Below are 27,379 nucleotides of genomic sequence, written 5' to 3' on the forward strand. Positions count from 1 at the left end.
CATTATTTCAATTGTGTCATTTGTGAAAAACTTTAGCCTACAAACACAAATATTTCTTTAAAAGCTTTCCAAAGACAAGCTCCCAAGCAAAAAGATCAGGACATTTCTGACGTATTTGAATAGACTAGTTTAAAAGATGAATTTCAGGTCTGACTCCAAAAGTTAAAAAGTAAGCCCTGTTAGACCATAATGATAAATAAATACGATCACTTCACCAAAAATGCCCTGCTTTGGGATTAATAAATGAGACACCTCACATCTGGACAGCAGTGATGGGGCATGTGGCACGTGGAGGCTTAGAGGCACGCAGGCTTGGCTTTGTGCTCTAGCTCCCTGCTCACCACTCCGGTTCCAACAGGTGTAAAGGAGACGGATGACTTGGCCTCCCTCTCAGGGCTCCTGTGCAGAGTACATGAGGTGACATCTGAATGTAGTAATTTCCCTTTTGTTTAGGGGATAATGGTTTGACCTCCATGTTTCTGCTAGGACACAGAGATAAAGTCAGTCTCTGACATGTTATATACAAGAGGGCACACAACTCCATTTTTACTGAGGACAAGAGACAAAATGAACTGGTGGCAGCACAGGAAATCTCAACAGCTAAAATGAGACCATCTAGTGACGAGATCACCCAGCAACTGAGAGAAGGGGCCAAGGTTAGAACGAATGCTGCTCCATCAATGAATTTAGGAATCATTCATTAATGATTTAGGAGCTGCTGTTATGTGTAGCATTTGGACTAGGCTCTAAGGACACAGAGGCATAAGACTGTTACTGCCCCAAAGGGTTTATAGTTTATTGGGGAGATTGACAGGTAAATCATTAATTGCCACACCTTTTGATAAGCGCTAGGTCAGGGTAAGCTCCTGGGCTATGGGAGCCCCAAGCATCACACTGCCCTTCTTCCATGGACATCATGCTCAGGTATCAGGTCCACACTCCCTGAACCTCTTACACACCCCTGCGATTGCAGGAATCACAATATATCATGATGATTTGTTCATGAGTCTGGGTTCCTGACCAGATTGTGAGCTATGCAAAAATGGGTATCTCTGCTTAGCCAACAGTACCCAATGACCTGAGCCAAAGGAACTGGAAATTTTGAGGTGCTTAGGAAGATGGCCTTCACCTTGAGGTGTATGAGGTTATGGAAATAAGAAGAGCAAAGACAAGGAGGGGACCAAGCACATTACATTCAGTTCAACTACAAACTGGATATTACAAGAATCTCTGGGCAGGACACTCACCATCTCTGCCTCACCTTCCCATCTGTACAAAGGGATAAATCACCTGAGTTAGGCTCTCTTAATCATAATTATGAGAAGATCATTTAGGAAAGCAGTACAACTTTAGAAAATATCAAGTACTACCAGAAATGGAGAGCATAATTCATGAAGAGGCTGTGCCCAAGGGAAGGCAGGCAGTTCAGGGAGACTCACACGGGATGCTTGTTGTACATGACTGGCAGAAACTCATCCACTGGCAGCATCTTCCCAAAAGGATTGGCTCCAACCAGCTTCTGTGCTCCTTCCAGAGAGATGACGTAGCCCAGGGTCCAGTAGGAATAGTCGGCTTCGACCAGGTTTGCCACATTGGGCACTGCTTTCTCTGGCTCCTTTACTTGCATCCTCTTCCTACCAATATAACTGTAAGGAAATGGCAGAGGAGAAAAATTCCACCTTGACTATTATGCCATGATAAGGATGAAGCACAGCTTTGGTTTACATAGATACCTCTGAAATCCTGGACTGACTCTGTCTGTCATTAAATGATGTATCACATCCAAAAGTGGATCCAATCGCCAGTCAGGACTGCCATCTGCCATCACTGGGGCCATTTTGCTAGCTCCATTTATCAACACCCCCACTATTCCTGCCTAGTGGACGGTTTTCAAGACGGAAAGTAAGATGTCGTAAGATTAAAAGATCTTTCAGATCATTTCTTAAAGATGGGATGGGGCTTCCAGCTGTGTTTACAGAGGTTGGAAAGGCACAAAAAAAGGCCAGATGGGAGAATCCTGAGGCTGCTGTCTTCAGGTCCCCAGAGTGTCAGCCTTGGATGCCTTCTGCACAGCACTCCGAGTGCTGGTGGGAAACACAGGACCAAATAAGCTGGGGGAAAGAGTCAGTCTGCAGTGAAGGTTCTGGGAACCCAAGAGTGGCCCTAAGGGGTTCCTTTTGGGGAGGATGAATGACAGCTCCTGACAGGCATTCTCCTGCCTCACACTCGTCCAGCTGTGGCCAGGCTTCCTCCCAGACATGCTGCTCTGAGAAAGGCCCCCCAGGCACCTTCCGTCCTCCGTGAACAACTTCTACAACACAGGATGCACCTTTGGCCACTCCCATCTTCCCTAGTCTACCCATGGATCTGTGCTCCATTACTTTTGTCCGGAACCTATTGATTTGGGCTTGACTGGAGCAACCTGAGGAGTTGCCTCCTTCTTGCCTGCCAGGTAAAGCAGTACTTCCTCTATTTTGCCCTAAAACAATCTCTTTCAACATTCAAGGGATTCCCCCTTGTGAAAGCATCCCAGGATTTGTAGAACAAGTCTATGTTCAATCTTCAGTTCTTCTGAGAACAACAAACATATATCCCCAGCCACTCTCTCTTCAGATTACGGAGTCTGAGCTTCTCTCGTGTCTCATCCAGTGGAAGGGAAACTCTTATCGAGCACTTGAGAGGAACTAGAGTGATAGAGGTGCTGAGTTAATGCTCTAACTTTAATTAATTTAATTTTAAATGTTGAAGCTGTGTGAAATATATATATTTTTTCCATGAAACAAGTTCATTGTTTTGGTAGGACGACAGTTTACTTTTTTTTTTTTTTTATGGAGCCTTGCTCTGTCGCCCAGGCTGGAGTGCAGTGGTGCAATCTGAGCTCACTGTAAGCTCCGCCTCCTGGGTTCATGCCAGTCTCCTGCCTCAGCCTCCTGAGTAGCTGGGACTACAGGAGCCCGCCACCATGCCCGGCTAATTTTTTGTATTTTTACTAGAGACGTGGTTTCACCGTGTTAGCCAGGATGGTCTCGATCTCCTGACCTCGTGATCCACCCGCCTCGGCCTCCCAAAGTGCTGGGATTACAGGCGTGAGCCACTGCGCCCAGCCCAGTTTACTTAAACAGCTGAAAATTTAGCTTCTGGATTGAGAGGTGTTCTAAGTGTAAAATACATACCAGATTTTGAAGAGTTGGTACAAAAAAAAAAAGAAGGTAAACTATGTCATTAATGGTTTTAAAATATTAATTACATACCAAAATGATGATACTGTTTGGATATTTTTGTTAAATAAAATGTATTAAAACTAATTTAGTCTAATTTATTTTTACCTTTTTAATGTGATTACTAGAAAACTGAAAATGACATATGTGGCTTGCATTATATTTCTATTGAACAACACTCCCTCAATGATTCCAATGACTTGTTCTATTCTTCCCTTTTATTATTTTCTTTTCCTGGAAAGATGTAATGTGGCAATCATGAACAGCTTATTACCTTTCATGTTTTAGGTTTAAGTAACATTTGTTTCTTTTTTGTTTTAGAAAATAACAGGTACAATTTAAAACTGTTACAGTTCTTTAAGACTATATAATAGATTTTAAGGGGATATTTTGACTTGATCAACCTGTGAAATTTAGAAAACATTTTTTTCCTGTATCCTTATCAAGACAACTGTTCTTCCTTCTTGCATCTGTCGGTACTTTGTCCTGAGAAATGCACCCACCGAACTACATGTGAACGGGAACGTATGCCAGCTCTAAACCTTAGATTCTCTGGGCTCAGTCTTCTGTGATTATGAGGCTTAAGTGAAGTTGCCTTTATACAAGTCACGTGGACATCAAGTAGCTTCCAGGCCTGTGAGGCCTTAACCACAGGCTGCGGAGCCATCCATTGAGAAAGGCTGAAGTGCAGCGACTTCTGGAGGATATAGGAAGAAACAGTGATCTCAAGGGACTGTGCAGAATGCCAAACCAAACCACATGACCACATGACTGAAATCTGACAGGGCATAGGTGTCTTATTACACAGTGACGCATTAGTTGAGCCATTGCTAGGTTTCTTCTGAGCTCAGAGTGGCCCATTTTCTGAGGGAACAAGTATTCCACCTGGGCCCACAGTTAAATACCGCCTGTGGGTGGGAGAAGCAGGGACAGCTCCTCTGCTGCAGCTGCTCCAAAGAAGCAGGCTCAGAGTTGATGAATTGCCTTTGACACACAGCTGGGAGCAAACACAATGCTTGGGAACTTTCTGCTTCATTGGAGAGAAATTGAAAGTGTCATTTGTTTTAAAAAGAAAATGAGAGAGAGAAAGGAGGAGGCAGAGGAGGAAGAAGAAAAAGGAAAGAGGAAGGGAGAGAGGGAGAGGAAAAATGAAAGGGAAGGGAAGGAAAAATGAAAGGGAAGGGAAGAAAAAAGCAGAAGCCACTCAATTCCCAGAGAGTAGACAAAGAACATTAACTAAATGTCAGCTCAGAGCCAGCACTCCCTTGGTGAGCCTGGTTTTCCTGCATCAGCCTCAGACCCTTCCCCAAATCTAGTTGTCCATGTTCTTCATGTTTGTGCAGCCCCATTTCCCAACAGAGGAGCTCCCTGGCTGACCCTCTAACCTCCCACCTTCTCGGAAGCTGCAGAGGCAACCTGCTGTCCCGGGAGCTGAGTCTTAAATATGACACAGGACTTTAGAGCTTGAATAAATGGCCTCTTCTCCAGCTTCACACCCACTCCATGTGCCACGTTAATTGAGGGTGGGATTTCTGCTGTGCTCCTAAGTAAGTGCTCAGTGCCACACCTTGGTTCTGTCTGAAGGTCCCTGATCTGCAGGCCGACTCCAGGTCTCAGACAATCTTCCACAGTTTCCCACCCTGAAGAGTAGAAGGATGCAAAATCCAGTGGCTAACCTCTACCCATTTTTATTTCTGAGAACATTTATGGAAAGAAAACTAGATAAGTGGAAGCTTAAGCTGTATCTCCTACTGGCTGTGGAGGTGGGGCTCTCTGCGCATTGGAAAGGACTGAGTGCCTCTCAGAGCCCTCTCGTAAGATCATCTTGTCACTCACATCAGTTCCCAGTCCAGCTGAGCCTGGTCAATGTTATCCATCAGCTTCATCAGCTTCTTCTTAAACTGATGCTCAAAACGCACATCGTCTTCAATTACAAGAGTCTTCTCTAGCTCTCGATCAATTACCTGCAAAAGTCATCAGTAGGAAGATACCCTATGAAAAGTTTGAAACCCAATTTTTATTAGATAAATAAGTATTAAAAAGTCACGAGTCTAGTAGCACAGATTCATAACTGGAATCTAAGCAAATGGCCATCAACAGTAGAATAGATAATAAACTTTGGAATATTCACAGCAGTGAGGATATATGATCACAATTAAACGCAACGTTATAGGTGAATCTCCTAAATGTCATGTTAGGAGAGTACACATACTGCATGATTCCATTCATATAAGGGAAAGTACAAACAAAGGTAAAGCTATTCAATGCCTTTAGAAGTCAGGATGGTGACTGCCCTTGGGGACTGATGACCAGAAGGCAGTACGGGGTGGGGGGGTGCTTGTGGGATGCTGGTTACCTGCTTCTGGATCTGTGTACTGATTAACATGGGTGTGTTGTTTGGTTTGTGAAATTTCCCTGAGCTGTATCTTTTGATCTATATCTTTTTATACCTATTTATCACATTTCACTTAAAGTTTAAAGAAAACAAAGGCAGGCATAGACTGGATCATTAAAAGAGAAAGTGTTCAAGGGGCCTTTCTTCAGGGACTTTCTTTTTGGTTGTGGAAACTGACTGTTTATCAGGAACCCCACACACCAATATCTGCTCCAGATATGTCTTGATCTGTAAGACAGGGGTTCCACTTCTGGCTCTGCCACTTCTTACCGGGTCAAGCTACTTAATAATTTCTTCTTCGGTAAAGGTGGTCTGTCCTTCCCAACCCACCTCACATGACTTCTGTGTGATTTCTTGTATAAAATCACTTAATAAGTGATGTCATAATAGGTATAATAGAAGGCATTCCTGCTAATGATGATAATGAATTAATAAGAGTGTGGCACACAGGACATGGGTGTCTCCCCCGTCACCACCCCAAGTGGCACCAAAGCTACTCCTCCTTGCCCCTTTGTTGCTGGTCTTGGGTCAGAGGGAGACACAAGGCAGGAGCAGCTCTCATGCACATTTCCAGAACAGTTGCGGGCTCACTTTACATCTGGCCCTAACTCACCTACGATAGCCTGCTTTCCTTTCTCCTCATCATAAAACTGCAATCTGAATAAAGCATTATTTACCTCTTTCCAGACTGAGTAGTGGCTGAGAAAGCAGCCGATTTCACCCCTTGTTAGAGGCCTGGAGGAATAGGGATCTCGATAGCCAGGCAGCATTTCAATATTCAGTGCCTTCAGCTGGCTTGTGTTGAGTGCCCTGCATCACATAAAACACGTCTGGAGATTAACAAGTCAAAGGTCCCCACCACAAAGGCCAGAGAAAGAGAGAGTTAGTTCTGCAAACACCCCTCCCCCACACAGACAAAGACAGAGAGGCTTCCCTTTATTCCTTAGAAGTTCCTCCAGGCTAATGTGTCACACTAGTATTATGAGGTCTGGGAAGACAAGAGGGTATCATATTTTTGTGTATCCCTCATAGTGCCCAACATAGTTCTAAGCATCATCAGTTTTTTGACAAGATTTAATAAGTACACTCCTATGGAAATTAGTTAAAGTACTGCAATAATCCAAGGAGTGTTTGATCAAGACCTACTGCTGAATCTCTGTTAACACAGTGAGCTTTGTGAAGTTCACAGCTGCCCTAATCCTAACCTGTTCACCCCAGCCCTACAAAAGCCTTGAAAACCAGTAGCCTCACAACTAAGAGAGCGGCAAACCCCACCAACCCAGAAGCCACTGGCAGGGACAAAATGGACTGAGACTCCCTTAAAGACCTGCCCCCAGAAAATAATCTCTATTCAACCTGTCTAGTAGCTCCTTGAAAAGCTACATTCTCAGAGCTTGTCTTGATTTGACCTGACTCAGAGTTCATTTTCTGTGAACAGCACTATCTGCAGGTCATTTGTCAAAACCCATGAGCAACAACTGTTTAACATTACAGCTGTTTGAGAAGCATTATCAGCTGATGCTAACAAGAAGCCCACCAAAAAACTTAAAAGGAAAAACCAAGGAATAAGAGGTCCATAGGGAGTTTGATTTGCTCCAAAATATCCCTGAGAATCTAGAAGGCCCCAGGCATATTCAGGGCTGTCCACACGCCCAGGAAAAACTTGAGAAGTCCCTAGTCTCTCACCTCTGGCTGACCTTAAGGATCTGGAAAAAAATGTAGTGAAGGCAAATGAATAAAACACTGCAATGAAGGAAGAATTTGGCATAGTAAGTTTTAAAAATTAATACAACCATGTGGTATCTATAAGAGGCAGCCTTTAGATTAAAAGACAAAAATAGGTTGAAAGTAAAAGAATAGAAAAAGATATACCATATAATCAGCAATGACAAGAGAGCTGGCAGAGCTATGCTAATATTGGGCAAAATAAATCTCAGACAAAATTCATGCTAGAGCCAAGGAAGGACATTTTTTAATGATAAAAAGGTTAATCTGGGCCGGGAGTGGTGGCTCACGCCTGTAATCCCACGACTTTGGGAGGCCGAGGTGGGCAGATCAGAAGGTCTGGAGATCGAGACCATCCTGGCTAACACGGTGAAACCCCATCTCTACTAAAAATACAAAAAATTAGCCGGCCATGGTGGTGGGTGCCTGTAGTCCCAGCTACTTGGGAGGCTGAGGCAGGAGAATGGTGTGAATCTGGGAGCTGGAGCTTGCAGTGAGCCAAGATCGTGCCATTGCACTGCAGCCTGGGTGACAGGGCAAGACTCCATCTCAAAAAAAAAAGGTCAATCCATCAGGAAGGCATAACAATTATAAATACATATGCACCTAACAGAACCTCAGAACCATGAAACTGGAAGAATTGAAAGGAGAAACAGACAATTCAACAATAATAGGGGAAGACATCAATATCCCACCTGCAATAATAGAACTAGGCAGGAGGAAGACAAGGAAACAGAAGACTTGAATAATATCTTAAAATAATCAGACCTAGCAGACATCTATAGAACATTCCACCCAACAATAGCCAAATACACACTTTCAAGTGTGCATAGAACATTCTCTAAGAAATACCATTTTTTAGACCATAAAGACCATATAGGTCATAAATTAAGTGTCAGTATACTTAAAAGGATTGAAATCACACAAGGTATGTTCTCCAACCTCAATGGTTTGAAATTAAAAATCAATAACCAAAGGAAACTTGGGAAATTCAGAAATGTGGAATTAAACAATACACTCCTAACCAATGGGTCAAAGAAGAAATTGCAAGGGAAATTAGAAAATATTTTGAGATGAATGAAAACACAGCATACCAAAACTTATGCGATACACTTAACATAGTACTTGGAGATATAGTTACAGCTGCAAATGTCTCTAGTAAAATAGAATATCTCAAATAATAATCCTCCCATCCATCTTAAGAAACTAGATAAAGAGAAAATTAAACCCAAAGCAAACAGGAGGAAGAAAATAATAAAGGTTACAGTACAAATAAATGAACTAGAGAATAGAAAAACAATAGAGAAAAATCAACAAAACCAAAAGTCAGTCCTCTGAAAAGATCAACAAAATTGACAATTATTTGCCTAAACTGATGAATTAAAAAAAAGTAAACTCAAACTATTAAAGTCAAGAATGAAAGAGGGGTCACTCCTACTGACCTTATGAAAGTAAAAAAGATTATATGATAATACTATGAACAATTGTATGGCAACAAATTAGATAACCTAGATGAAATGGACAAATTGATAGGAAGGTACAAACTACCAAAATTGACTCAAGAAGAAATAGAAAGTAAATAAATAACAAGAAAAGAAGTTTAATTAGTAATAAAAAAAATTTCCATAAAGAAAAGCCTAGAACCAGATGGCTTCACTAGGGGTTTCTGCCAAATGTTTAAAAATTGTTAACACGAATCTTTCACAAACTTCCAAAAAAAAAGAGGAGGAGGGAACACATCCCAGCTGATTTTATGAAGCCAATATTATTTTGATACAAAACCAAAAACATTATAAGAAAACTGCAGACCAATATCACTTATTAATATAGATGTGGAAATCTTCAAGCAAATACTAGCAAGAGAATCCAGCAATTTATAAAAGGAATTATACAGCATGACCAAATGGGTCCCAGGATTATCCCAGGGTTGCAAGTTTGGTTTAACATGTGAAAACCAATCAAAGTAACGTACCATATTAACAGGCAAAAGTCACATGTTCATCTTAATAGACACGGACAAACCATTTGACAAAATCCAATACCCTTTTATGATAAAAATACTCAACAAAATAGGACTAAAAGGGACCTTCCTCAACCCAGTAAAGGCCATCTGTGAAAAACCCACAATTAACATCATACTTAGCAGTGACGGACTGAATGCTTTCCCTCTAAGATCAGGAACAAATCAAGAAACTGCACTCAACAGTTCTATTCAACATTGTACTTGATGATCCAGCAAGGGTAGTTGGACATGAAGAAGAAATAAATGGTATCCAGGTTTGAAAGGAACATATAACACTATCTCTACTTGCATGTGACATGGTCTTGTATGTAGAAGATCCTAAGGAATATACACACACAAAGGAAAAAGTACTATTAGAACTGATAAAAAGGGTTCAGCAAGGTTGCAGGATACAGGATCAATATACAAAAATCAATTGTATTCTTATTCATTTAGCAATGAACAATCTGAAAATAGAACTAAGGAAATAGTTCCATGTACCATAGCATCAAAAGAGTAAAATACTTAGGAGTATATTTAACAAAATAAATGCAAGACTTGTATACTGAAAATGACAAAACATCATTCAAAGAACTAAAGAAGATCTAAATAATAAAAAGACATTCCATGATTACGAATCAGAAGACTTCATATTGTTAACACGGAAATATTCTCCCAGTTGATCTACAGACTCAATGCAATTCCTATCAAAATCCCAGCTGCCGTTTTCTTTATTTGTGGAACTTGACAAGCTAATTCTAAAATTCATATGGAAAAAGTAAGGGACCCAGAATAGCTGAGACAAACTCGAAAAAGAATAACAAAATTGAAGGACTCATACTTCTTAAATACAAAGCTACAGTCATCAAGACGGTATAGTACTGGCATAAGGATAGACATATAGATCAATCAAATAAAATAGAGAGTTCAGAAATAAATCCTTACATTTATGGGCAACTGGCTTTTTACAATGGTGCCAAGACAATTCTACGAGGGAAACGAAAGTCTTTTTAACAAATGGTGAAGGGACAAATGGATAACCATGTGCAAAAGAATGAATATGGATCCCTGCCTCATGCCATATACAAAAATTTACTCAACATAGATCAAATACCTAAATGTAATAGATAAAACTGTAGAACTCTCAGAAGAAAATTTCATGAAGTAAATCTTCATGGCTTTGAAATTGACAATGGATTCTTAGGTATGACACTAAAATTACTAGCAACAAGAACAAAAAATAAATTGGATTTCATCAAAATGAAAAACTCTTTTGCTTCAATGTATACCATCATGAAATTGTGACAATCAATAATGCATAAAGTTAAAGAAAATATTTGACAATTACATATCTGATAAAGGACTTGCATCCAGGATATATAAAGAACTCTCACTACTCAACTAGTTTCCCTGGTCCATGTGGTCTATGAATGGGACTGGTGTTCTTGGAGGTATTTGAAGCAGTGGTTCCTAAACTCTACTGCACCCAAGAATAGGGCTGACAGATTTAGGAAGTGAAAAACACAAAACACTCAGTCAAATTTAAGTTTCAGATAAATAATGGATAATTTTTTAGTATAACCAAGCCCCATGTGATGTTTGGGACAAATTTAACTGGCTATCCAGTATTTTATGGGGCAATCCTGTCTAAGAATCACCTTGAGGCTTCTTAAATGCAGATCCTGGGTCCAGCCTCAGAGAGCATAATTCAGCAGGTCTGAGATGGGACTGAGGGAGCTGTCCCCTTAACCATCCGTGGGGACTCTGATGTGAGTGTCCAGGTCACACTTTGGGAAACACTGATGAGATTCTCTAAGGGAGTCATAAAAACTTCAACAGCTGCTAGCCATACTCCTTAGTTGGAGTTATGCAAATAGAAAACAAAGCTACTGATATTCTAAACCAACATATAACATGGAAAGGCACATTTTATAAAAATCTATGCCTTGAAATAGTTTAGGGTGTCAAATAAAAGGGCAAAGCTGAACAAAATAAAAAAAAAAAAAAAGAAGGGATCTAACTAGGTTCCCTGTGTTACTTTCCTGCCATATTTCCAGGAAAAGTGGCCACTATGATCGGTCCAGGCAGATTGTGGCAGGCATCTCATGCAACAGGAAATGTACACCTTTATGCATTTTCCATCTATTTTCTTCAGATTGACCAAGTTTCAGCACTTTATGCTCTAATTCAGCTCTGAACACAATTCTGAACACATTCCTTCTGTTACACTACAGAAGGCTGAAAACCACCACAACTGTTGCAAGAACCCCCAGAGACGGGACAATCACATCCAATGTGAGCCTTCAGTGTAATGAAGACCAAAGACCACTGGCTGGTGAGTGGATTTCAGGCCTGCTCTACAGGATGAAATTAACTTAAATGCTACTACAGGTGGCCGTTTTGAAAATAAGACTATCCTCTAATGACCGAAGAGACTTAGAGCCCCACCTGGGACTAACTCTCTGTCAGAGAAGACACATCCACACTCCAATCACATCTGCAATGGGAGAAGAAACCCAACTCACTTTCCATCCACAGCCTCGACAATCTTGACCTCAATCTCCTGTTCATACAGTGTGCGCAGCATCCGGTCCCGCCTGTCCTTTCTGCGTTTGAGGTTTATCATGAAAATCTAATGCAAGAAGGAAAAGGGAAAAGACACATAAATTACTCAAGTCTTCTTTTAGGCTGTTTGAAAAGTTTAGTAAATGTTTTAGATAGAAGAAGGAGTGGAAAAGATAGGAAGAACTGTCGTGAAAATTCATTTCTATCTCACATCAGTGTTTAAGGTAAATGATACTAATTCAAACTGAATTATTTTCAAAACTCAACTCTTCGTAGTGACTTAACTCTCTTTGTTTTTCTGATGTTCATTGATAAATATGTTCTCCCTTCTCTTGAAATAGGAAAGTTTAAAAAACTACTCTTTAAGAGGTCAAAGGACAATACGATCCTATGTTTAGAAAAACCTAAAGATGCCACCAAAAAACCATTAGAATTGATAAACAGCTTCAGTAAAGTTGCAAGATACAAAGTCAACGCACAAAAATCATTAGCATTTATATATGCTAACAACAATCTGAAAAAGAAATAGAAAAAGCAATCCCATTTATAGTAACTACAAAAAAATTTAATAATACTCAGGAATAAATTTAACCAAAGAAGGTAAAGATCTTTATAATGAAAACTATAAAACACTGATGGAAAAAAATGGAAGGATATTAAGAAAAGAAAGATATCCCATGTTCATAGATTGGAATAATTAATATTGCTAAAATGTCCATACTATCAAATGTGATAAACAGATTCAGTGCAATCTCTACCAAAATACAAATGACATTTTTCATAGAACCAGAAAAAAATCTTAAAATTTTCATGGAACCACAAAAGACCCTGAATAGTCAAAGCTGTCCTGAGCAAAAAGAACAAGGCTTGAGGCAGCACACTACCTGCCTTCAAAATATTCTACAAAGCTATAGTAACCAAAACAGCATGGTACTGGCATAAGAATAGACAACACGTAGACCATGGAACAGAATAGAGAACCAGAAATAAGTGCACACATTTACAGCCAACTCATTTTCAACAAGGACAACAAGAGTTACAGATAATGAGGATGTCCTCACTATTCCCAGACTTAATGAACCATAGAAGTATCTAAAGCTTTGTGAATGCCTTTACACGTAAATCAATGTTTTAATAAGGTCCTTTTGCTACAAATAGTAAGAAACTCATTTTAAATGTTAAACTAGTGACTTTAACTGCCAGTGAGAAATGAGGATGACACATAGCATGGTAAAGCAGAAACCTATAGAAACAAGTCAGGTGGTGTTGACTTCATCCTGACTAACCATCTGGATGACTTTGAGGAGACATTAATGTTTATGGGTCCAGTTCTATAAAAATAGGGAGGTGCACAAACTCATCTTTCAAATTCAGTACAGATTAAAATGTTTAAGACAGGTGGTTTATAATAAAGTTGGCTTTCTGCTATGGCCAGAATAAAGGAGAAACTTTGTCTTAGAACCAGTCTGGAGTTCAGATTGTACTGTGTTAAGGTTTGGTTCACATGGTCATTCTGAATGCAGTCATAAATATATGTTTCACTGGAATTAAAAGCTACACTAACTAAAATTTCAACCCTTCCTTGCAAAATATTCTCATTTCTATCCATTTATAAATCCCTGGGTGTAGAAACTGATGGAGGAGCAAGATATTCCCTTTGAAGAAATTGTCCACCTGATTTAGGGCCAAGTAGATTAAGTGCATCCTAATTTTACTACCTTCCTTGTTTACCTAACTGGGTAATTATTTTGTAAAAAACATAATTTTCTGTGGTGACTCTATTTGCCTCATTACTTGGGACTTTATAACTTAATGGGTTGTGTTCTTTTAGTCAGAATCATACTGTGATGGGTCATGCCTCATCCCCTAATTTTCCAGATATGGAAAGGAAAGGGCATTTTCTCAGGTATAAACATGAAGCCACCTGAGGTCACTCTAAGAGAACAAAAACAGAACAGAACAAAAAATCAACAGAAATAAATCCAAAAAGGCCCCCAAAAACAGAGACCTCCAGTCTGGGAAGACTTTCAGTAAATAACAATCCAGTTCCAGTCCCTGCCAGGACAAGTGCAATAAAACTGTAGCCACGAAGTAAAAACACAGATGGCTCACTCACACTTAGTGAACAGTAAACAGAGAAAAGAGCATCAGAGCCAAATGCAGCCCAGACACCACCAGTGAGGTCACAGAGTCCGAGGAGGATTGAAAAGCCCCTGAAAAGCCCTTTTTCTACCATGCTATCTCTGTTCCATACGGAGAGGTGACTAACCTCAGACTCAGGAAAGTAGAGTCTCCGAGCCTGTGCCACTTCATGGAGTTGGCCTTCTCCTGAAGGGCTCTAGGAGTGACCCAGTCCTTACACCGTGTCCTGCCCAAAGAAGACCGGAACTGGAAGATCCTGGTTTTGTCTTATTTTATTTGCTTTGGTTTGGTCCTCATAGGAATGTTTTTAGGAGGAGAAATGAATCTATGTAAGGACACTTGGGTCCTTTCACCTAGGGAACCGAGAGAGAGCTGTAGGGAAGGAAAGCTACAGTAACATGTGGAAGCTGGTCCACTGTGGGTGTGGGACAACCTTCTCTATAGCCCTGATCATTTTTAAAAACTATTTGCAAATGAGTCTTATTCCTCTCTACTACATGCAGCTCATCTCTTCTCATTCTGCCCTTTGTGGAAATACCATAGTAGCTGTTAACTCTTCCCCACTTAATAATCATGAAATATTCTTTCCCCCTTCCTGAAGTATAGCTCCAAATCAGTCTTACGGAAGAAATCTTAATTCCCAGTTCTAGCGTCAAATCCCTTTGAGAAGGCTGTACTCTGGGGACATGTACATATATGTATGTATATGTTACCATGTGATAAATAAGGCATCTTCCTTCGATTAATCAGTGGCAATTAGCACCAAGCTCGAAGCCTGATCTGTTACATATCCAGAGTCCATGGAAGAGTTCTCAGTTTGTGGACTCCTGAGGCACTGCCCTAGCTTCTAGACCACCAAGCTCCTTCTGAATACTGTTCAGCAGCTACAGGGGACACCCATGAGAGAGTCAGTGATGTGGAGTCACAATCCCTGCCAAGTATCTGTTACGCATATTACCAGGAGGGGAACCTCTTAATATTTCTGCTTCATTCTTTATACAACTAAAACTTAATAATAAATACTACCCTTAGAATATTATTAGGAAGTTCTTGCCTGCTGAAAGGCAGAATTTTAGAACAAATATGTTTTTTTTTCTTTCTTTGTCCTCTCAACCCTGCTCTCTAACCTTTTTCCATGGAAGAATAGTAGAAATAAAAGAAAGCACAGAAAGTTCCAGAATAGTTTCCACTTGCTCAGATGTGGCAGAATAAAATTAAAGTCCTCCATATCTAAAACATGTATCCTCTGTATCTTACTCTTGAATTTTGATAAAAAGGTTGATTAAAAATATCACAATATCTGCTCCTAGAAAATATCAAATTCACTTTCATTACTAAATGGTAATTTCTTTCTAAGTAAATGATTAACTACATTTATCATGATACTCCTTTTTTTAAGATAAGGAAACTGAGAACAACAAAAACCAAGTAGTTTTCCCAAGACCTCAGAGCCATTTCAGCAGCCAAGCCAGTCTTGCTGGCTCTCAGATGCAAGCTCAGGCTTGTGTTCCAAAATGAACACACAAGCCTGCACACGCGTGCATGTGCACACACATATAGACACCTTTCCTACCTCATCAAATCCCATCTTGTCTGGATATTTAGGGACAACTGAGACATACTGGGAGGGTTCCATTGGAGGACGGTCAACTGGAAGACACAAGAAACATGCAGAGTGCTTTGTTAATGAAAGGGTCAGAAATCAGAATTCCATCCGCATGCCTGATCTCTAGGGTTGGAATATAACTTGGAAATACAGGGCAGGGGACAATGGCAGCAGTTCTCCAGGATTGAGTAGCCACACAGGAACCCTGCTGGTCAGGGCACTGGTTTCAGGAGCATTTGATTATATGGAGATTGCAACATTTGCTCCACTTCCCTTAAGACTTATTTCAAGAATATTTGGGAGGCAGTTTAGGATAATGGTTAAGAGGAAGGGCTCCAGAGTCGGATGATCTGGGTCCAAACCTTGGTTTGCGAAGGAGTAGGAGAGTTAGGGGACCTCTTTAAGCTCATTTCTTTGGTGTAAAATTGGGATAATAGAAGTGTATCTGTGTTATAAAATTTAAATGAGACCTGCGTGCAAAGCACTCACCACTTTAACACAGTAAATGCTCAACAACTCTTAGCTATTACTTACTATGGCCCATGATGAAAGAGCTCAGAAATAGGCTAGAATTTTTACTGAAAAACACTTTTTTCTCTGCATTTAAAATTGTCAAAGTGGGGGACTATTTTTATCCCACCTGGGCAGGTTTAGGTGTGGGTGCGCAAAAGGTCCATTGCTTTAACAGGATCTAACCACAGAGAGCTGGCCCATGTCTAATGGGAAGATTCCAGCTGGGAGTGACACTACTTCTTCAATAATGAAAGTTTTATTTATTTGATACTCTAAAAAAGCTTCCTTTGCAAACTATGTATTTTAAAGTTTGGAAGTAATATTGGTTAAGAAACCTGAAAAGGCCTTGAAGAATGTTTAGTATTATAAAAATTCAAAGTCCTCGAAGAATGTTTAGTATTATACAAATTCAAAGTCCTCATTTGATTTTCCTTAAAGGGATAATACAAAGAAAATTTAAAATGATAGCTGGTAACTGGGTTGTTGAAAGAACTATGGGTAATGGCCATGACTACTGTAACGTATCTGTTCACCTCTATTCCAGGCACAGGAGAGGAATACACTCTCTTGCCCTTGAAGTTACTCAGGGCTATATGACTTTCTGGGGAAAGTTTATAGTGTGGTGCTGCTGCTCCACTCTCCAAGGGCTCCCCCGACACTGCCCTTGGTCCCACCACTGTGCTCATAGCGGCATGTGTGGATATGGATAGCAGATGTGAATTGGAAGCAGCCTGGAACATTGCATCAACACATGAAGGGCAGCTCCCAGGAAAGACACCTGCTCTGCAGACTTGGATAGCAAGAAATAAGCCATTGTTGTATGAAGCCAATCAGATTTTTATATTCCAGCATAACTTTGCCCATCCTGAGATACTGTCCAAAGGGTATGATCTGTTTAACTTCACTGAAATATTATAGAGAAATCCTGACATCCAATTTTACTTATTGGCGAATGATGTGAAATTCTAGAACGTAGTGAGACAGAGTTCTTAGGCCAAACACAAGAGCTGGTCTCATTACTTCAAACTTGACACTTACAGTCATATTTCTGTGCATATGCAGTGCATGTCTTTGTCTTCCCAATAGCAGCCGAGAATATTCTGGTCCTTTCTGCTCCACTCCACTCCTTATTAGTTTCTTTTAAAATCAATAGGGAGGGTCCACCAGGTACACGGTTAGGTTTTTAAGAGAAAGAAGCTTAATGTACCAGCTTCCTCCTGTTCATGATATTGTCTGAGGAGCTGTCTCACTCTCCCTCCTGGGGCCTGAGACTTGGGAAGATGTTATATTTTGAGTTACCCATTCTAGGCTGCTGGTCTCCTTTGGACTCACATGGCCTGTGTGGCTTTAACATTTCAGCCAAAGAGACTGCTTTTAGCCACTTTGTTTCCATCAAACATAGGCAGTCATTGCATTCACAGGACAAGTGTTGCAAAAAAAAAGCCACAAGTGGTTGGCTCCCGAAAGTCATCACTGAGCAAAAATATCAGAGAAGTGTGCTTGGGTTTTGCCACTGAAGGCAGCAGTAAGCCACAGAGGAAAACAGGAAGTGATACAGTGAGTCAGACCTAAGAAACTTAGTCTGTGGGGAGAAGGATGTATCTTTGCTGACAACAGACTTGAAGGTTAGGTATATCCTGGCTTCTGTTTGTAGTCATTTCTGACTCCATCTTTCATAATTGATCTGGTCTCTCATTAAATCCCTTCCTGGAAATAATCCTTCCCTGTACTGCCACTTGGGACAATGGGCTTCATTGCTTTCGGGATAGTTTCAAGATCTAATGTGAATAATTACAGCCATTGTTACAGAGGTCTTATCACTCACAGAACCCAGAGTTCTGTGAGTGATATATATATATGTCACATATATACTTGACATATATAATCACATATATTTAATGTTCACATGTACCATGGGATATGTATGAGTGTCTCTATTTTTATAGACAAGGAAACAAACATTAAATAACTTGCCCAAGATCACAGAGCTGATAGAGCTGGTATTTGAACCTAGGTCCTACTCCTTTACCGGAGCTCTTAATTCCCATTCCACATCATCCCCAGAGCTAGTCCTTGGTGGCCACTGGTATTAGCCAACCAGGCAACTGGGCTGGGTCCAGAGTAGCTCATTTAAGCCCAGTCATGTCTGGAATAGTACATGATAGATTGTACTTGGATCAAATCCTACCGCTTCTTCTCTATAATTTCTCCTGAACTTCTTCCATTGTTGCAGCCTAGCTTGGGTCCTTACCCACTATGCCTGGGCTGTTTTTGATTTTTTTCAAACACTTACATGCTCTCAGTCTTTCCTATTCTAATTAATCATGCTCACTGTTGTCAAAATAATCTTCCGCCGCACAGCTCTGTTCTCAACTGTAACAGTCACACTCAACACTATATTTAAGGGCTTAACAGGTTGCTAGGTGTTTTCATAGTCACCATGTAATTTTATCTTCACTTTTTTGTGGTGGTTTTTTTTTTTTTTTTTTTTTTACAAATAAAGAAACTGAGACCAAGCCAGATGTAGACTTGTCCAAGGTCAAATACTGAGTGATTGGCAGAGCTGGAACTCAGTTTTAGACATAACTTCAAGTCCAATTATCTTAATAATTTTTACATGATGTACTGTTGTCTCAAAATGTCAATACTGAGAGCAGGTACCTGAGACTTCCTATCACCTTATGCTGTAATTTGCAAGAGTAATCTCCTCATGCTTTATAGACCATTTAAATCTAACATCTTTATAAGATCTGGCCTCCTGTCATTCATCTCCCGAAGGCAGCACATCCCCAAATTCTCTGTGCAGCTTCTAATGTACTAAATGAGTTATCACATGAAAAGAGATGGGCACAGTGCTTTTAATAAGTGTTAGTCATTGTCGTCATAACCCTTCTCCCACCTCACTCAAATTCTTCAACTCTGATTTCTAAAACTCCAGTCTACAATTCAGAAATTCCCTGACCATCCCCTTCACAAGATTTTCAATTCTCGTCCACTGATGCCTGATAAAACCCTAATCCTGGTTAAACCCATTGCCCACTTACTCAGCACCAAGAGGACTACTGGGAGAAACATACACAATTGTGTTGACTGAGTCACTTCAAAGCTACAATCACAGATGTCAAATTGGCACTTGACACCACCAAATGATGTAAGTGTCCTTTCATAGTAAATTTATTTTCCCACTCTTTGAGAGATTGTATCTTTTGTCTTCTCTCTCCTAAAATCTCCAAAATCTCTGTCTAGCTCATGACTGACTGGCCTATATACTTCAGAAAGAAAATATTCAAAATCAAATTAGATCTACCTTTTCAATCCACCTCAAGTCCACAAACCAAACTGCATGTGTATCAATACATTCTGCCATCCCATCTGCCACAGTAGATGAAGTTTCTATCTAGTATAGCCTCTGCAATATTGTTCTGGGCTGCAACCCAGGACAAAAACCCTCTTGTTTTCACCTTATAATTACCTTCTCTTTTACATCATCAAGATCTCCTTATATACTGGATCCTTGTGACTGGCATAAAACATACTGTTATATTTCTATTTTTTTAAAAAAACAGTACAAACAACCTAACCAGAAAAACCTTTCCCTTGACCTCTTACCCCCAACAGCCTCCATCGGATTTCTCCATTTCCCCATCCCATCAAGATTCAGCTTTCTCATCTCCCCATTGGCTTCTCTTCAGTCCACTTGAATGGATTTGTGTTCTCATCATTGCACTGAAGTGGCCCATGTCAAGGTCATCACAGACCTCTCTCTTGACAGAACCAATGACCAATTCTTTATCCTTATTTTCCTTGGCTTCTCAGCAGCATCTTGGCTCCGTCTTGAAACACTTCTCAATTTTTCCTCCTAGCTCTCTGGCTGTTTTGTCTTCCCCAGGGATCTGTCCTCTTCTCATCCTGTGTTCTTTTACTACATGAGTTCAGACTGTTCCACAGCTTCAAATATCCTTCTGATGCTGATGATTCTCAAATATCTGTCTCTAGCTGGAGTTTCTTCCCTGAACTCCAGACTTATATATCCAACTATCTTCTGCCTTTCTATTTAGATGCCTATTAAATATCTTAAACTTACGTGACCAAAACTAGCTCCCCAACCCCCAGTCTTTTTCTATAAAGTCTTTCCCATCTCAGTAAATGGCATATCAGGCTAAAATCTTGGACTCATCTTGATTCCTTTCTTTCCTTCATGGACTGCATTCAGGTCTCTGTAAGTCCTGTTGCTCCACCACCAAAATATATCCTCAACCTGTCTGTTTCTCATCAACTCCTTGCTAGAGCTCACATCCCAATCACCATCATGTCCCACCAGGAGAGAGGTACTGGTCCCCTACAATCTAGTATCCTCACCACAGCCCAAATGATCCTTCTAAATGCACAAGTCACTTCAGGCCATGCCCCCTCTGCCCCACCCCATCTTCCACGGATTCCCATTACTCTTGGAGTAAAATCTAAATTCCTTACCATGGCCAGAATGTTCGGTGTGATCTGGACATTTCTTCTTCCATTACTTCATCTCCCTTGACCCAACTCATTCTTTATGCCCCAATCATGCTGGCCTTTTGTCCCTGGAACACCCCCAAGCTTTTCCTGTCTAACAGTCTTTACATGTGCTGTTCTTTCCACTTGAGACATTCTTCACCCAAATATTCATATGGCTGCTTCCCAGATATATTGTCTATTGTCTAACTCTCTGTGTTAGAATATAAGTTCCCTGATGGCAGGGCTTCTGCCTGTTTTGTTCACTGCTTTATGCCCAGCATCTTGAACAATCTGCGGGGTACAGTATGTGTTGAATAAATCCTTACAGCCTGATTATCTCTTCTAACACCTTCATTGGCTCCTTAAGATAGGAATTCTTCTTTAGCTGAAGAAGAATTCAAGGACTACAACAATGAAGCCACTCCACCCTCTCGAACTTTATTTCTGCCTACTGTTTTAAGTCAGCTCTCCTTCAGCATGAGAATACTTCGTCTTTTCTTGGTCTGTTTCCTCTGCCTGTAGTGTCCTCACCATACCACTCTTCTTGTTTAAATTTTACACTTGTACCCAAGCTTAGCCTAAGAACGATTAGGACTTGAGGCTCTCCTGGATCACACAGGCCATAGCAATCTCTCTCTATCCCAAATTCCTATTTCTTTGATATTTTCTCCTTTCTCAAAATGCTATACTGTGTTGTTAGTGTTTTTTTAACATCTGTCTGTTTCTCCTATTAAATCATACATACCTGAAAACAGAGAATTGATCATAAAATGTTTTGAATCCCTAGTACCTTCAGAGAAGACGCATACATTACAGGCATTCTATGTTTGCTCATGAACAAAATGCATATACTAATGCAAGCTTGTTCAACCATGGCCCGCAGGCCACATGTGGCCCAGGATTGCTCTGAATGTGACCCAATACAAATTTGTAAACTTTCTTAAAACGCTATGTGATTCTTTTTGTGATTTTTTTTTTAGCTCATCAGCTATTGTTGTGTTAGTATATTTTATGTGTGGCCCAAGACAATCTTTCTTCTTCCAGTGTGGCCCAGGGAAGTCAAAATATTGGACACCCCGTTCCTATTCTTCAATCAGTATAGTCTAACAACACTATTAGCAGCCATTTATTTACTGCTTATTGGGTTCTAGGCACTATGCAAAGTGTTTTTAACACCTAGTTAATCTTTTATTAGAGAAGGATACTTGACTGATAGGATTTTGTCATTACCAACTTTTTATCAATCTTACACGGACTTCTAGGCCATATTTCTTCATTATACACCTCAAAATTTTATTTTTCCAACATTTTCTTACTCCTATTGTGTTCTATATTTTTAGAATTCAGGACAGAAGGTAAGTATAAGAATGAAATAAAATGCGATATGTAAAGTGCTTAGCACTAGAGGTGGCATGTGTTGGGAGATCAATGATGAAAGCTATAATTTACAGGTTCTTCTCAAATGAACTCTACCTGGCTAGCATGGTAGTGTGCATATTTGTAATTTACAATCATTAAAATCTTTATTGATGACACGTGCATTTCTGTGTACTGAGAGCTTATACTCTCAGCCCTGTGGGAGAAAACAAGAGAACATAAGGTCTGGCTGGCCTCTCTCTGAGGCCAGAGAGACTCTCCCTACTTGGGAGTCGAGACCGAGAGCCATGAAACAGGGATAATAAGGGACAGCACTTTATCGAGAGGTAAATGGAGTCATAATAATAGCAACACCTCATTATTTTATGGAGTTGATATAGTCTTTTATTTGCTCTTCTCAACATTGCAAAATCACTCTATAGATGAAGAAACTGAAGTCCTGAAATCTGATTCTCCCTTCAAAAGCGACAGTGTCTAAGTTCAAGCCCATTATTCTCGCTTTGGGTTCAGTGCCCTTGTCAATACAGTTTTCATTCATTCATTTGCTCATTTGTTCATGCATTCAGCAGATTTTTTTTGGTAACAACTACATGCCACGCACTGTGCTAGGTGCTTGGAATACAAAGCAATAAGATGCCACCCATATCCTTTAGGGCCTAGAACATAGGGAAAGTGGCAGAAAAAGTATGTATTAAAGAAATTCGCAAAGGAGATTCCTGAGGGCTGGTTCAAGAAATACTGTCACAGTGAACCAGCTCCTTATTTCATCATTTCATCATCATTCATTCAGTCATTTAACAAATATTTGCTGGGCATCTACCACGTGACAGACAATGTGCTAGGTCCTGAGACTAATATGATGAAAAAGGAATTTATAGTGTAGGAGCAAGGGAGTGGGAAGCAGATACTCATAGACAACTCAATGGATCTAAAAATAAACTCATGGTCTCTGTTTTCTTTTCTTTTCTTTTTCTCTTTCTTTTTTTTTTTTTTTTTTTTTTTGAGATGGAGTCTCACTCTGTCACTCAGGCTGGAGTGCAATGGCGCGATCTTGGCTCACTGCAACCTCTGCCTCCTGGGTTCAAGCAATTCTCCTGCCTCAGCCTTCCGAGTAACTGGGACTACAGATGTGCACTACCATGCCCAGCTTATTTTTGTATTTTTAGTAGAGACAGGTTTCACCATGTTGGCCAGGCTGATCTTGAACTCCTGACCTCAGGTGATCCACCTGCCTCAGCCTCCTAAAGTGCTGGGATTACAGCCATGAGCCACCATGCCAGCCATGGTCTCTCTTTTCAAACCTCTCCTTTATGCTACATGCCCTATTCCATTTAAAGTTCCTAAAATCACCCCCAGACACTCAAGACAGAACTTGGGAGTTTTCTCTATGCCTCCCTTTTGCTCATCTACCTACAATCAACTCTTGGCTATGTCCTTTCAAGCCTATGTCCTAAGCTTCTGTTCCTTCCTCTCCATTCCCACTGTTACTGCTCTAGCTCAGGTCCTCACCACCTTTTGCCCAGTAGCCGTGAAATGTCCAAAGTGGTCTCTTCACCCCTGGCCTGAGACCAGCAGCCACTGCCCATGCATCCCATGCATGCTCCACCTACACTTTTCTTACCTGTAGAGTGACCTTTCTAAATCCAAATTCAACCTGACATTTCTGTGCTAAAATCTTTTTGAGCGTGCCTGTCCTTTCAGCTGAAGCCCAAATGCCTTCTTATACATCAGAGCCTCTTGGCGGGGCTCCTGCCCACTTTCTAGCCTCAGTTTCTGCTGTTCCTCCCTAACCACCTCCACTGCCCACGTTCACACCCCCGTGCTCTACTGATGAATAACAGAAAATAGTCCCTGCTTTGGGAAGCCATTTCAACATCTTCCCCTAGGTTAGGTGGATTGGTTACTTTCTCTTTTAGCCACCATTGTACATCACACATAATAAAAAGCATAGCTACTGATGACTGAGCACAGCAATTCATGCATCATGCCAGACCCAGAGGCAATAACAATAGTGTTTAAGGACATGAACTTTGGAGATAGCAAGATGGGTTCAAATCCCAATCTGTCATTTGTTTAGCAGAATGATCTAGGGCAAGTTACTTAAGGTAACATCTCATTGTTTTTCATCTTTAATATGGGCATAATAAAAACCCTTCATTGAATTGTTGCAAGGATTAATGAAACAACAATGAAACAGTTTTGTACACTTTAATGTACAAAAAGTGCTTAGCATTTTATGATGTAACAGTGATATCTGTTACATCATGAGCTATTATTAAGTTAAAGTCATAACTACTGTGGCTGTATTAGCCTTTTTACATATACCATAATGAATCTGCCCAAAAACCCTGGAAGTTTTCATTATTTCCATTTTACAACTAAGGATATTACTTGCTCAAAGTCATATAATTAGAAAGCAGCCAAGTTAGGGTTTAAGTCCACACCACAAAACACTATTATAGCACTTATCAGATCTTTTGGAAAGTATTTACTTGTGTACCCAGCGCTCTTCCAGGATGGGAAGCTCCCACATGGCAAAGACCTTGTCATATTCATATTTCCCATAGGAAAAATTTAGGAAAGAATGAACAAATAAATAGCTATGTATTCAGCCAGGGGAGACTGATGGCTGTGAGATTCCAATCCTGGAAGAGGAGGGAAGTGGCTGGTATGGTCACTGTGGCAATGGAACGAGAGCCATCCCCTCTGCTCCTGGGTCACTCACTCATTGCTTCAATCTGCACATGGATGAGGTTCTCGATGTCTTCCTGCAGTGTCTGATGGGGCTTCAGGGGGATGGGCAGGTAGCCATAGTGCTCTCTGTTGCAGAGGTACATCTGGATGCCTGAGGATCCAAGAGAGGGACAAAGCCAACAATCAGAAAACATACTGCTGAGTGACAAGCGAGGAGAAGGAACCTGAACTGTGTCTGATGCTGAGTTTGACACTGCAATTAAATAAGTGGTTGTTTCAGGTATGTCTATAGACCTAAAAAATGCTCCTTTATTAAAAAAGTAAAACACAGCATTGGGGACTAATAAAAACACTCGGCTATTCTTCAGCCCAGAGGAAATTGATTTTTTCCCTCTGAAGAAAAAGCAAACTCATGGCCTGGAATGAACAAAAAAGGCATGAAAGGATCAAAAGGGAGGCAAGGAATTCCCATTCTGGAGAGCAGAATGGAACACTGTAATCCACCTACAGGAAATAACAAGAAAATGAGGAATGAAATCCACATTTGATATGAAAGCAAACAGGAAAATTCTGTAACGCTGACAGATTATTAAAGCTAAATCTAGGCATACATAGAACAAAAAAACGAAAAAACGAAGGAAATTTAAAATTCTCCAAGATTCTCCCTGGTTTTATTGCTTCCCTTAGCAGGCATGGATTTGGAGCCAACCAACAGACATGAAACTTCCAAAATCAGTTCATATAGAGACAAAAGAGTCTGCATTTCAGAATGTCCTGTTAAGAACCTGTAGTGTGACAATACCAGAAGTATGCAATACCCTTCTCATATTCAAATTGTTCTTCATAGCCCCACCTGATAACTTGCAGAGTTATAAGGCATCTGTGTTTAACCAGACAGCTAGAAATATAGGAATCAGGATGGTCTCATACACATCATTGGTCAGCAATTGACACTCCTGATCAATGATAAGACTGCTTAGTGAAAAGGATGAGTCCGCCATGTATCCAAGCCTCTGGTCCATGTATCCAAGCCTGTGATTTGTTAATTGCGATAATTGTCAGTGTTTTCCAGAGAGATAATTATCTGCATAGGGACTCCTCTATTTTGTGCAGATGAAATTTCCTCCAGTCAGCTACATCATCTGTCAAATCAGGTGAAGCTGTCTCATGGCATTAACAGAGAGGAAGGAGAAAAGAAAATAACCTTTATTCCCTGCTTTTACTGAATCTGGCTTGAATCAAGGCTGGTCTACCAAGCACTGTCCCTTCTCTTGCCTTCACCGAGCAAACTCATTAGCTCTGCTGTTTGCCCATATGAATGCTTCTGGGGAGCTTCAAAGTGCACCTTCTTGTAAAGTCATGATGAATTCAGGAAGTGGAAGGAAAAATATATTAAAGTTGCATCTCTACCCTAATTAGGCAAACCATTTTACCATTTAACTTTCTGAGGCTTCCATAAAAAAATGATATGATACCTATCCAAATTATCCATCAAGTGTGAGGGTACAAGGAAGGCATTTTTAGACATGCAAGACCATAATATATTTACTTGCCATCATACTTTCTCAGAAAGCTGCTGGATGATGTGAGAGAAGGACGAGGAGGAAAGGAAGGAAGAGGAGGAGGAGGAAGAAGAGGAGGACGATTATAACCAACAAGAAAGATTATAAACAACATGAACAGGAGAGTCAGTGTATAAGAGAAGAGAAATAAGTCTTAGGTTGATAGCTTCAGCACCACTTGGATTAGAATATATTAGAAAGCTCCAGAACAGACGTCTTCGCAAATATGCAAAAAAGGACATCTGACAAATCTGGACATTCTGAGAGGAGTTTGAGGTAATTAGTGATTAGTTTTGGATCATACTAGTAATAATAAAACTAAGCAAAAAAGGCAATTATTAAAGGAATTGCCTCCAAAGAATGGCAAAGGAAAACTAATCATAGCCTATGAATGACCAAGCTTGGAGTTAGGCTTGCATGATTACAACAAGAACACTGACCATCAATCTGTTTGAAATTACAATGGGAGAACAGGGTGATGAGAAGAATGTGTTTGCATGCAGAGGGCAAAAAGGAAGAAAAAGAGCTAACTCCTCACAGTCTATAGTGGAGAGTCAACAAATAATGCCCACGGTGAAGCCAGAAAATCAAGAAGTAGCAATGCATGCATATTATTTAACATGGAAGTAAATATTAGAGATAAAAGTGGTTGCCTTCTGGAGGACAGAAGTGATGCAGGGTGATGTGCAGGGGACTGTTCATTTCTTAATAAACCATGGGGAACTATATGAATACTTTCAACCATGTGCATGGGCAGTTTGATAACAGAAAATTTAAAAGAAAATGTATTAATAATTAGATAAAGTCTATGAAAGAGTCTGCACTCCCAGTGAATGCTGCTTCTGGGGAAGACAATTTTTCTTTTGAAAAAGAGAAGTGAATTACGCTACATTTTGAAGGACTGTTTTTCTTTTAAACATATTAAACATTTTCTTGTACTCATATAGTACCTTAACATTGCAGATTGATGTAATTATCCCTATCTTTGGTGATGAAAAATCAGATTCAGGCTGTCACTTGTCCAAGGTCACATAGTAAGTCATTAGTGCCAAATCTTTGTCCCTAAAGAGCCAATGCCAAGTGCTTTCT

The 27,379-nt window shown here is 40.2% G+C and overlaps 1 protein-coding gene across 3 annotated transcripts in view, besides 3 other annotated features; it reads right to left on the bottom strand.

Annotated features, from left to right (window-relative positions):
- COLGALT2 (collagen beta(1-O)galactosyltransferase 2) overlaps positions 1 to 27,379 on the bottom strand; it is a 108,067-nt gene that overhangs the window by 9,480 nt on the left and 71,208 nt on the right. For all 3 annotated transcript variants that reach the window (NM_001303420.2, NM_001303421.2, NM_015101.4), the window contains exons 6-11: positions 24,760 to 24,879; positions 15,621 to 15,697; positions 11,866 to 11,972; positions 6,291 to 6,423; positions 5,055 to 5,182; positions 1,440 to 1,646 (exon numbers count right to left, since the gene is read on the bottom strand). In NM_001303420.2, coding sequence (NP_001290349.1) covers positions 1,440 to 1,646; positions 5,055 to 5,182; positions 6,291 to 6,423; positions 11,866 to 11,972; positions 15,621 to 15,697; positions 24,760 to 24,879 — 772 coding nt within the window. The remainder of the gene's footprint in view (positions 1 to 1,439; positions 1,647 to 5,054; positions 5,183 to 6,290; positions 6,424 to 11,865; positions 11,973 to 15,620; positions 15,698 to 24,759; positions 24,880 to 27,379) is intronic.
- Positions 5,659 to 6,501: an enhancer, noted in NCBI's record as "OCT4-NANOG-H3K27ac hESC enhancer chr1:183913934-183914776 (GRCh37/hg19 assembly coordinates)". NCBI's record gives its function as "activates a minimal SCP1, AML or CMV promoter by ChIP-STARR-seq in naive H9 embryonic stem cells {active_cell/tissue: H9 hESC(naive)}" and the evidence as "EXISTENCE:reporter gene assay evidence [ECO:0000049][PMID:30033119]".
- Positions 6,502 to 7,344: an enhancer, noted in NCBI's record as "OCT4-NANOG-H3K27ac hESC enhancer chr1:183914777-183915619 (GRCh37/hg19 assembly coordinates)". NCBI's record gives its function as "activates a minimal SCP1, AML or CMV promoter by ChIP-STARR-seq in naive H9 embryonic stem cells {active_cell/tissue: H9 hESC(naive)}" and the evidence as "EXISTENCE:reporter gene assay evidence [ECO:0000049][PMID:30033119]".
- Positions 16,691 to 16,855: a silencer, noted in NCBI's record as "fragment chr1:183924966-183925130 (GRCh37/hg19 assembly coordinates)". NCBI's record gives its function as "represses an EF-1alpha promoter that drives an FKBP-Casp9 reporter gene in an ReSE screen in HepG2 liver carcinoma cells {active_cell/tissue: HepG2}" and the evidence as "EXISTENCE:reporter gene assay evidence [ECO:0000049][PMID:32094911]".

This window comes from Homo sapiens, chromosome 1 (genome assembly GCF_000001405.40).
Source record: "Homo sapiens chromosome 1, GRCh38.p14 Primary Assembly".
NCBI classification, from domain to species: Eukaryota; Metazoa; Chordata; class Mammalia; order Primates; family Hominidae; genus Homo; species Homo sapiens.